Here is a 12,159-nt window from a genome sequence, read left to right as displayed (position 1 = left end):
CTTATACCTCCATCCACACCCCGTGCTCCAGAGAACTTCAGGTCCTCTCATTTGAGAAATAGCGGTAGGGACATTCTCCAGAGTGACAAGGAAGTTAACCAGAAAAGGATGTGTTCCTTACTCATTTTTAAGTCATGAAGATGTTCATCCGCATTAAACCTACTGACGCTGTAAACTCTAGATTTGAAATAGCCATGGATGTTAAAAGGTGATTCTGGCTAGGCACAGTGGTATGCACCTGTAGTCCCAGCTACTCCAGAGGCTGAGGCAGGAGGATCGTTTGAGCCCAAGAGTTCAAGGTTGTCGTGTGTTAATGATCACACTTGTGAATAGCCACTGCACTCCAGCCTGGGCAACATAGCAAGATCTCGTCTCTTTAAAAAAAGAAAAGGTGGCTGAGTGCAGTGGCTCACACCTGTAATCCCAGCACTTTGGGAGGCCGAGGCGGGCGGATCACGAGATCAGGAGTTCGAGACCAGCCTGCCCAACATAGTGAAACCCCGTCTCTACTAAAAACACAAAAAAATTAGCCGAGCGTGGTGGTGGGCACCTGTAATCCCAGCTACTCAGGAGGCTGAGGCAGGAGAATGGCTTGAATCCAGGAGGTAGAGGTTGCAGTGAGCTGAGATCGTGCCACTGCACTCCAGCCTGGGTAACAGAGCGAGACTCCATCTCAAAAACAACAACCAAAAAAAAAAAACAAACAAATAAACAAACAAAAACAAGAAAAGCTGACAAAAAACTAATTTTGTTGATGTCTTAGATATCTCAACAGTGGCCTAAAAGTTCTAATTTCGGAAGTGATGGAGATCCTTTCAGTCATCTTGCTGATGACCCAAAATTTTACAATTAGAAATGTATTCCTTGAGTCAAAATCTGTCCCTCGTTTAAAGCACATACATCTGTAGCCTGGGATATATATTAATTAAACTTTTGTTCTTTGGGACATCTTTTGGTTGGGGAAAAAATGAAACAGAATCACTCACATTTCCACAAAAAAAGATGGGGTTACTTTAAAGAAACATGTTCCCTTCGTTAGGAACCAAGGCAGACTTGGTAAGCCTGCATCACTCCTTATTTCCTAGTCCAACTTCAGAGAAAATAATCCTTATCCAGCTCAGTTGCATGTACTGGACCAAAATCACTCAGGGGCTGCTGGCCAGCCTGTGGATCGGCTGAACTTGCCCTGCATGCCCAGGGCCCTATGGCTTGATGGGTGGGATCAGGGGGTAGATAGAAACCGCAGCCACCTTGACTCACACCTCAGCCAGAGCTCTGATCTAAAAAGATCCCATTTGAAGGGGCTGTAGGCACACCATGAAGCATGACTGGAAAAGCCTTAATAATAAGATAAGTGAGTGTTTATTGAGCATTTACTGTGTCATTGACATTATTGCAGCACATTATATATACGCTACTGTTATCCCCCGCCCTTTTTTTTTTTCTTTTTTTTCTTTTTTTGAGGCAGAGTCTCACTCTGTTGACCAGGCTGGAGTGCAGTGGCACGATCTTGGCTCACTACATCCTCTGCTTCCCGGGTTCAAATGATTCTCCTGCCTCAGCCTCCCGAGTAGCTGGGATTACAGGCATGAGCCACCATGCCCGGCTAATTTTTGTATTTTTACTAGAGACGGGGTTTCTCCATGTTGGTCAGGCTGATCTCAAACTCTTGACCTCATGATCCACCCACCTTGGCCTCTCAAAGTGCTGGGATCACAGGCATGAGCCACTGCGCCCAACCTGTTATCCCCATCTTATAGGTGAGGTCCAGATGGGTTAAATGGCTGGCTCATGATCACACAGATGGGAAGTTCAGTAGCTAGACAGTCTGCTCTCCAGCAGACTTACACCTCTAAGTAAAGAGAAGTTGCTGGTGTATGTAAATAGGTAAGGGTGGGAATAGTGGAACTCCATTGACCAGGGAGAAGGCACTAAAGGAGAGACAGAGAGCAGCGATGTCTCCCTGCGTCAGTGAAGCCAGCCCTTTACTTAGAGGCGATGGGGGAAAATAGGAAGGCAGAAGAGCTCCACCTAGGAGGTAATAGACAAAGGAAAGAAGTTCCCATGGACGCTTGGAGTGAAAGTGGAAATATACCAAGGAAGGGACCCCAGAGGTCTGGGTGAACCACTCAGCCCTGGGAGGCCGGAGCTCAAGAGGATGGTTGCGTCATCAGAAGCAAAAGAAGTGGAAGTTGTAAAGAGACCCTTAACTTGAACAGTCAAGTAATGATGATTTTGTTGGTTTCTGTGACTTAGAGACATCATAAAGAAATTGTTGGGCCAGGCGCGGTGGCTCATGCCTGTAATCCCTGCACTTTGGGAGGCCAAGGCGGGCGGATTACTTGAGGTCAGGAGTCTGAGACCAGCTTGGCCAACATGGTGAAACCCCATCTCTACTAAAAATACAAAAATTAGCCAGGCATGGTGGTGCATGCCTGTAGTCCCAGCTACTTGGGAGGCTGAAGCAGGAGAATTGCTTGAACCTGGGAGGTGGAGGTTGCAGTGAGCTGAGATCACGCCACTGCACTCCAGCCTGGTGACAGAGCGAGACTCCGTCTCAAAAAAAAAAAAAAAAAAGAAAAAAGAAATTGTTGTATTTTTGAAGACTTTGTTTATTATTATTATTATTATTATTATTATTATTATTATTTTTGAGACAGAGTCTCACACTGTTGCCCAGGCTGGAGTGCAGTGGTGCAATCTCGGCTCACTGCAAGCTCTGCCTCCGGGGTTCACACCATTCTCCTGCCTTAGCCTCCCAAGTAGCTGGGACTACAGGTGCCCACCAACACGCCCGGTTAATTTTTTGTATTTTTAGTAGAGACAGGGTCTCACCGTGTTAGCCAGGATGGTCTCGATCTCCTGACCTTGTGATCCGCCCGCCTCAGCCTCCCAAAGTGCTGGGATTACAGCCTCCCAAAGTGCTGGGAGCCACCGCGCCCGGCCTGAAGACTTTGTTTAAACAAATGTCTATATCACTCGTGAATTTGGGTTTTTTGAAGACTTTTTTTTACTGCAGGAAGTTATGAACAAAGCCAAGCTGATGATCAAATCCTTTCCAGAACAGTGGTTGAGATCTAACCTCCACCCAAGCCAGCAAGCAGGTAACAGATCTGGGCAGGAAGGCATTATCTGTACCTTAAGAAGACCAAGTGAGGTTAACATGCAGAGGGGAGGGATGGCAAAGCCAGAGTAGGTGGCACATTTGACACTTTTCATAAGAAAATGACTTTCTTGTCTGACTTTTTGGTAGAAAATTCTCATGAGTAAGTACCGGTTATGGTCATTTCCCCAGAGCTAACATGAGACTGTAATGACTAAAATGTGGATTGTGATTCAGTTATTCTAATCTTATATTCAGTACCATTCAACAAGACTGGAAAAGAAGCACCCCTTTATATCCAGGAAACTGTCAGAAGGGACCACTGAGAGCAGACGGCAGAGCATGTTAGACTAGACAGCAACAGAGCCGCTGCATTGAGGCCTGCCACGCAAACACACGCCCACTCCCAAACAGCTTGGATTTCCAACGTGAGACGGGAATGCGTGGGAAATCGCCAAGGCAGAAAGGCCTCAAGCCAATTCTGCAATTAGCCAATAGCCTGTACTGGCCTCCACATTCGTTTAGATAAATTTTGAAATCATCAGCAAACTGTGGAGCTAGATTCTTTCTTTGCGAAGACAAAGTCAGACAGTGTTAACCTGCGTAGCGCCATGAGGAAAGGATGTGGGACGAGCTCTACTTCCCACCCCCGGCAGGAGCTGAATCATTCTGCAGGGACACCCCTGGCTGTGTGTGGCCTGGCGTGGTCCTCGCTGGCAGTGGGGAGAGGGGTCCCTGCTGGGGGTGGAGACTGGGTCCAGGACCTAGCAGCCCTACCTCGAGGCCCTGCTTCCAGGCTCACCCCCATCTTAGTTAAACCTGCAGAGGGGATGTTAATTAGCAAAGACTGGCGCTCAGGGAGTTGGGGGAGCTCTTAGCCCTCTCCCTTCCAAGAAAGATGACCTTTTGGACCCAAAAAGGAGAATTGGGCTCCAGTTGCTCTCGTTCGAGGCACTCGGAGTGCTTCCCACGTATCTCATTTATCCTCATGACACCCCAGAGAGGTAAGTTTGTTTGAGGTTTATACAAAGTTATGATTATGCCTATAGATTCCAGTTCCTGCCTCTATGTCATTCTAAACCTCGGGTCTCATCCCCATCTCACTTTTCCTAACATAACTAAACCCTTCGGGGAATGAAACGTCTCAGGCTTTCGCCTCGCCAAAGGGCGGTTTTCCCCCTTCCTTCTTTGTTGTTGTTAAGTTTGATTTATTGCTTCGCATTCTAGCCAGGCTCGATGGATGTTCGGAATATTATAAATAATGTGGATTGAAAAGATTGTGCTGAAATGTTTATTGCGTTCTTAGAAAGAGAACAAGGAATGGCGCGGAGAGTGTGGCAGTGGGGAAAGAGGGGCGTGAGGAAGGTGGGAAGACCCATCCTGCTCCTAGGATATTTTAGTGTGTCAATAAAAGACAGTGCTCAGAAGGGAAAGAACTTATATTGCAATCATGCTATCAAGAATGCAGAAGTGTTCCAGCGGGCGTAAAGAATATACTTCAAGAATGTAAGGACCATAAGGAACTAATCATTAGACATTCTCTGTCTCATTTCCTCACCCACGGTGTTCGAAGAAAGCCAGCAATGGAGAGGTTGTCTGTGCTTTAAAACTAGCTCGCTGGCGCGCTAGCTTCGGGGTACGCTCTGGGATGGCAGACAGCTGTGGCTAGCTGTGTGTGAGTGAGAAGGCACCCCCTTGTGACTTATTTTGCACCTTACAATCTGGAATCTTTGTTCTTCAGGTGCTCTAGAAATATAAATGTTATCCAAGGTTGGGACCCCTGATGCGGTGGAAATAAATGCCACACTGGCTCATGGGCATCCAGAGATCACATTTCAAGCTGAAATCCTACCAGCCACTCCCTGCCGGGTAGTTATCTGGTCCTTGTTCCTTCTCAGGGCATTTCCTCGGGCTTCTGTGAGGAAGAAGGCAGCGTCCTTAGTGGCCAAGGCCATCTGTGTCAGCCTGATGTGACACAGCAAAGCCCGGCAATCTGGCAGAGATCATTCTTTGAATCCCTCTCTATTCTAAGCAAGAGCGGTCATTTGGCCACCCCAGCTGCTGCTGTTGGTCCCACACACCCCCTCAGAACAGAACCGTCTTTGTCAAGAGGAAATGAGGCTGAGGGATATTGGCGTGGGTGTGGATTAGGACAGCAAGAGGGCTTTGTGTCAAACACATCCCAGCCTGCTCCACTTCTCGGGGTGCATCATCAGCAGGGACAGTCACTGGGTACCTGCTTTGCCCCCAGGACAGTGACTTTCCTTCCAGCTAGGGAGCCCTGGCCCATTATCCGTACTTATAGTCGCCAGAGAAAGCCACGGTTTCTTCTATCATGGTAACAGATGATATTTTATTGTATGGTGTGAAGAATTTCTTCAGCACCAGAGGAGTCACATGGAGGCTTGTTAAAACAGGTTTCTAGGTAGGACCCTTGAAGTTGAATTTCTTTCTTTCTTTTTTTTTTTTTTTTTTTTGAGATGGAGTCTTGCTCTATAGCCAGGCTGGAGTGCAGTGGCACAATCTTGGCTCACTGCAACCTCTGCCTCCCCAGTTCAAGTGATTCTCCTGCCTCAGCCTCCCGAGTAGCTGGGACTACAGGTGCGTGCTACCACGCCCATCTAATTTTTGTATTTTTAGTACAGATGGGGTTTCACCCTGTTGGCCAGGATGGTCTCGATCTCTTGACTTCGTGATCCACCCACTTCGGCCTCCCAAAGTGCTGGGATTACAGGCGTGAGCCACCACGCCCGGCCGCATTTCTTTCTTTTTTGAGACAGGGTCTCACTCTGTCACCCAGGCTAGAGTGCAAAGGCGCATCTCGGCTCACTGCAACGTCCGCTTCCTGGGTTCAAGCGATTCTCATCCTTCAGCCACCTGAGTAATTGGGATTACAGGCACATGCCATCACGCCCAGCTAATTTTTGTATTTTTAGTAGAGACGAAGTTTCACCATGTTGGCCAGGCTGGTCTCAAACTCATGACCTCAAGTGATCCGCCCGCTTCGGCCTCCCAAAGTTTTGGGATTACAGGCATGAGCCACTACGTCCAGCCTGAAGTTGCATTTCTAACAGTCTCTTCAGTGATCTGTGCTCCTGGTCCCACGTCACACTGTGAGTTGCCATGCTGTAAACACAAACATTTCTGTCGTTAGGTGATTTTTGGTAATGTCTTGAGAATGTCTCCCAATAGAGGGTGACAAAAAGTTACAAGGAATGAATGAAACATGAACTGAGGCGATTTGATTCAATACAAAATGGGCCCAGTTGTCTGAAATTGTGAGTCTAAAATCATCTGTGATAGGAACCCATGAGCATCTGGTAAAATCCCATCATTTCACTACAATGCAACTCTGTTCATTTAATTGCAAAGTAAATACAGAACATATTCTCCTAGAATTTTAAATTCATATCACTAATGGAGAATATATTGATTTTGAATTTAGCAATACCAACTGGACTTACTTTACTGGAATGCTTTACAGTTCTTTAAAACCACTACTCCTTGATTACCTATTCTATTGATAATTTGTATGCTTTCATTCGTTCATTTCTTCACTCATTCATTCATTTCTTTAACACATATTTACTGAGCACTTACTATGTGCCAAGTACTGTTCTAGCTGCTGGAATATTCCCATGTTAACTACCATCAAGTAAGAAAGTCCTTTGAGACTGGGCACGGTTGCTCACGCCTGTAATCCCAGCACTTTGGGAGGCCGAGGTGGGCAGATCACAAGGTCAGGAGATCAGACCATTCCTGGCTAACATGGTGAGACCCTGTCTCTACTAAAAAATACAAAAAAAAAAAATTAGCCGGGCGTGGTGGCGGGCACCTGTAGTCCCAGCTACTTGGGAGGCTGAGGGAGGAGAATGGCGTGAACCCAGGAGACGGCGGTGCTTGCAGTGAGCTGAGATCGCGCCACTGCACTCCAGCCTTGGCGACAGAGCGAGACTCCATCTCAAAAAGAAAAGAAAAAAGAAAGTCCTTTGAAATTCCTACTGCTGACTGCTCATATTCCAGGTATTAAGATATTTGAGTCTAAGCTATGAGCTGCTATCCAATCAACAAAAACATAAATATATGTTGCATATGTATTATGTGAGCTCTGTGCTAGGCACGAGAGGAGACACAGACATTGGAAACACACGGCCTGTTATTTAACCCCAAAGAATTTATGGGCCATCGGGGAAGGTAAATCATGAATCCAATTAATTGTTAGTTTAACCAAATAACATGTTAATTTCTGTACCGCATGTGTTTAGTATACAGAAGCAGCATAGAAAAGCAATCCTAGGATTACCCTGGGCATGGGGGAGGAGGTGTCCCTGAGGAGCGGGTGTTTTCAAGCTGAGGCCTAAAGCTAGTGCTGGTGTGCTGGGTGCAGAGAAGCTGGCAGAGGGCCCCAAAGCAGTGTGAACGATCCCTGCCAAGGCACAGAGGTGTGAGAGAGTGTGGCATGCTCGGAGTGGGAGGCCAAGGTGGGAAAACTGGATCATTTCGTTAGGAATGTGTCATAATTCAACTTTTTAATGTTGCTTTGAAATGACTTCTGAAATCTCTGACAGACCATGTTTAATATAAGCCAGCCAATATTGCAAAGCCAAATCTGACCTTTTGGGTTGTCTATCTTACTTTTTTCCAGAAGAGTGGATAAGCAGAAGGTGATGACATCATTTTAATATTATCCTCAAACACCTTTTATTATTTGCACTAGCAGCAGACATTGGAAGGGCAGATATTTTGTGTTCTTTGCATGGCATGTGATACACACGTCCCTGGTATAGGCTTGAACATGCTAATATGTAACCTCTGACACTCAGCTGTGGCCATCAATCTGCCTCTTTCCAGGACGGTGTCTTGAGGGTCTGTTTAAGCCCTTACGCTGGAGCGTCTTAAGGGAAAGGGAGAGGAGAAGGACGTGTACCCCAATCACCTTATCCTCAGAAGTGACGCTCCAGATGCAATCATTTCCCAGTCTTTCCACTCTGCCACAGTGACTCCTTGGGCCTCAAATACTTCTTTTTTTTTTTTTTTTTGAGACGGAGTCTTGCTCTATCGCCCAGGCTGGAGTGCAGTGGCGCAATCTCGGCTCACTGCAAGCTCTGCCTCCCGGGTTCACGCCATTCTCCTGCCTCAGCCTCCCGAGTAGCTGGGACTACAGGCGCCCGCCACCATGCCCAGCTAATTTTTTGTATTTTTAGTAGAGACGGGGTTTCACCGTTTTAGCCAGGATGGTCTCGATCTGCTGACTTCATGATCCGCCCGCCTCAGCCTCCCAAAGTGCTGGGATTACAGGCGTGAGCCACTGCACCCGGCCTGGCCTCAAATACTTCTACTGATCCTTCTTGCTGATAGAATCCATGCACAACAGCTTTTACGCCAACCATGTTCTAGAATTGATGGCTTGGGATCTTGTCCACTTGTTTTCAGTAGGCTCAGTAGTGACATTGTTGAATCTGCCCACATTGCCTGCAGGTCTGTGTCTCAGAGCTGAGTCGGGGTTGAAGAGCACCAGTTCTGGCTCTGAGTTTTTACTTAGGAATGCCAGCTGTTTGCTGCCACACTAACAGCCAACTCCGAAAATGGCAGCCTCCCTATGTGAAGGACCACTTTTAGGGATCCTCAGATAATCTGCTGTTCACAGGAGGACGTCTTTAGGGTGGTGAATTGTTTGGGGATAGTACTGAATCGGGGGGACATCACTGCGGCCTCATCCCCCAAGATGAAGGACAGGCTCTTGCACTGCAGAGTGTGAATACTCCTGTTTGCATACCATGTGCTCGGGGTCAGAGCTCTGCAGCCTGACTGCCCCTTTGCTCTTGTGTATTTCCTAGATCAAACTCTAAGCCCCGCTGCCACTTTTGGTAAGAGGCTCCTTTTCCACGATCCAGTGTAGAGCAACTTTGAAGTCTCTCTCTCTCTCTTTTTTTTTTTTTTTGTTCTTACTCCACCAATCTTCATGGTGCCCACAGGGCTCACAACTCTGAGGCTCTCGTGTTGCTCCTAGTGAAAGGTTAGCAGTTGACCAGTGTGCTGAGTTGGTTGCGCCCTAGTTCTGCCATTAAGCATCTCACTGCAGCAATATCCTTAAATTAGGGTTCCAAGGCCTAGAGAGGAGAGCATATGGGAGGGTCTGGGTAGAAGATGCATATCCCTTCCGTGAGAACAAATCTGAATGGCCTTTCATTGAAATGCTCTTAATTTAAGCTTTTTTTTTTTTTTTTTTCTTTTTAGGCAGAGTTTCACTCTTGTTCCCCAGGCTGGAGTGCAATGGCACGATCTCAGCTCACTGCAACCTCCGCCTCCCGGGTTCAAGTGATTCTCCTGCCTCAGCCTCCTGAGCAGCTGAGATTACAGGCACCCACCACCACGCCCAGCTAATTCTTTCGTATTTTTAGTAGAGATGGGATTTCACCATGTTGGCCATGCTGGTCTTGAACTCCTGACCTCAGATGATCCACCTGCCTCTGGCTCCCAAAGTGCTGGGATTACAGGCATGAGCCACTGTGCCTGGTGAATTTAAGCATTTTTATACATATAGGTATACAGGCTGTTGGAGGATTTTTTGAGTGCATAAATCTCAAAGTCTGTTTTCATGATAGAGTCTGTAGAGTGAGCTAGAGAAGGTTTTCAAGAAAAGCCTGGCAGCCATGTTTGGTTGTACTGAGAGTAGTTGCGCCCGATGGCAGGAGGCTGCTGCGTTCAGCTCAGAGGTCTCACTCGTGCTGTGGTGTCACACAACACGGGGGATATGGGCAGCATTGAGCACTGAAGGCCATCACACATGGGGAAGGGTCATAGCGCTTTCTATCCAAAGATTGGAGATCAGGAATGCCACGTTGGTAGCAAGAACAATTTCCAGCAGGTGAGACTAGTAGCTAATCTCAGTTGAGAAGGTACCATAAGCCGGGTAGTATGCTTGGCACTCAGCATTTTCTCTCTTTTTGTCTCCATGATGGCTCTGAGAGTGGAGGGTTATTATTCTCCCACTTTTCGGCATAGAGGATTGGGTCCCTTACTCAAATGACAGTGCCATGGTCTGAACACGTGCAGTCTGCCCTCGCAGCCCATGGTGTTTCAGCTCTTATGCCATACAGCTTCCAAAGAGGGAAACCCTGAACTCACACACGCGTTCACCCTTTCACACACTCTGTCATTTTGCCGCATACGTGGGAAGTGACACACAGTACTGGAAGCTAGTGGGCCAGGGAGCTTCAGACTGCGGAATGTTGACCACTTGAAAGTAGAGATGACCTTTTGAACACAGGAGAGCCCATTTTTTCTGCCCCGACAAAGGGGACAGGCTTCAGAGCCACACTGAATAACTATGACAAATGTTGTGGTTACTTGGGAAAAGACTTGGCTGAAAGCAAAAGGCCCACGTCTGGCCGCTCTCTCATCAGCCCCTTATTTTTCTTTTCTCCCACTGCCCTTAAACAGTCATATTTCTTCTGCCCTCCCCACCGTGGCCCTTGGTTATATATAGTCCATGTCACCTTGGAGGCCAGAGGAATGTGGAGATGAGTTGGGGGCCAAAGTAGCCTCCAGGATGACAGAGTGGCTCTCCACCCAGAGCACCAGAAGCGGCACTAGTGATCCCACCTTACTGGAAATGCATTTACCTGAATTCTTCTACACTCTTGGTGACATCGTGTGTCTACTATTTCATCCTACTTCCACCACCGTGACCTGGCTTCCTCTTGATTTCAGCCACCAGCTGGTGGCCAACACTTTGCAGCTCTCAGCCAGCACGGCGCTGAAGTAAAACGGCCGCTAATACAGGCAAGCGTCATCAGTTTCAGAAGCACACTTCTCATCTGGGCATAGAATAGTCCAGAAGGGCCATCTGAGGAAGAGCTGCTGTCCAGGAGGTGGCTCACTGCTTCTCACTTCAGAAAGGACCCCATGTCCTCACAGACCAAGCAGGCTCCGGTGCGCTGGCTGGGGCACCCCTGTTCTGGAAAGTGCTGGCACCCACTGCCAACTTCTTCCTCTCCAATCTCCTTTTTCTCCACTCCATAATAACACCCCTCTGTGTTTCCAGTTGTCATTACGTCACCCTTCATTCCAACCAACTTTTGTAATGTGTTATTTCTAAGCCTACATCTTATTAACGTTTAAGGATGGCAGTTTCCTGATGGCGTGTAGGAAGGCACCCTAGTCTTACCCGCAATGTTTCCAAATCCCACTCTAGGATGTCTGGTTTATGGACCATATCAGCACTCCCTCCCTGGTATCCCTAGGACTCGAGGGAAAGGGGGTGTGTGCCTTTCAGCCACCCCGTATGATAAGCAATAGGGGAAGAGGAGCTGGATTTTCTTTCTAGCACTTACCGCCTTCTAGTCCACTACATTAGTTACTGATCTGGGTTTTTGTCTGTCTTCACACACTGAAGCCCCCCTCCAGCGCCCCCAACAAACACACACTAGGACGTCAGTTTGGTGAGGGCAGAGCTTTTTGTCTGTTTGGTTCATTGTTGCAGCCCCAGTGCCTAGAACAGTGCCTGGCAGGTGCTCAGGCAACATGTGTTAAATCAAAAGCCACAACAGAGATGCAGGACACAGAGGATATCAGTGTTATTTCTGCTTTCCCAACCACGTCAGGAGTGAGGACCTTCTGTTTCATTTGTTGAGTAAACGTGTATTGAGCTGCTCAATGTGTAACGTATATAATGTATACAAAGTGGATAGCAAGTGCCTAGCGCCAGTAATGGTGCCGGGCATGGCTCTTGTTAGAAGCACTGTGGTGGCAGGGGCAATGTGCATTTGCCCGGGACCTGCCTGAGCCAGGCCCCCAGTGGGCCCATACACAGTGTGCCCAGGAAAGGAGGGATCCCCAGTGGGAAGGCTCTAAGCGACTAGCGTGCCCCATCCAGAGTGTTCTTGTTAGCTTTGTTTCAAGAGGGTGAGCTCTCCTGCCCCAATCTGGGCCCCAGAAACCTCTTGCCCTGGAACTGGAGCCCATCTCATATTCACTTTGACTCTTTAGGACATCTATAGTATTAATCAAAGATTGCTTGTAAAATAATAGGATATGTGACCGTGAAAGAGAAA

The 12,159-nt window shown here is 47.6% G+C and overlaps 1 protein-coding gene across 3 annotated transcripts in view, besides 1 other annotated feature; it reads left to right on the top strand.

Moving 5' to 3' along the window:
• The window catches only part of STX8 (syntaxin 8), a 325,350-nt gene that overhangs the window by 298,492 nt on the left and 14,699 nt on the right, over window positions 1–12,159 (top strand). The window lies entirely within an intron of this gene.
• Window positions 3,828–4,329: an enhancer, noted in NCBI's record as "H3K27ac hESC enhancer chr17:9176317-9176818 (GRCh37/hg19 assembly coordinates)". NCBI's record gives its function as "activates a minimal SCP1, AML or CMV promoter by ChIP-STARR-seq in naive H9 embryonic stem cells {active_cell/tissue: H9 hESC(naive)}" and the evidence as "EXISTENCE:reporter gene assay evidence [ECO:0000049][PMID:30033119]".

Source organism: Homo sapiens, chromosome 17, assembly GCF_000001405.40.
Source record: "Homo sapiens chromosome 17, GRCh38.p14 Primary Assembly".
NCBI lineage: Eukaryota > Metazoa > Chordata > Mammalia > Primates > Hominidae > Homo > Homo sapiens.
The sequence above is the reverse complement of the archived record's forward strand: the minus strand, read 5'-3'. Positions and strand labels throughout refer to the sequence as shown.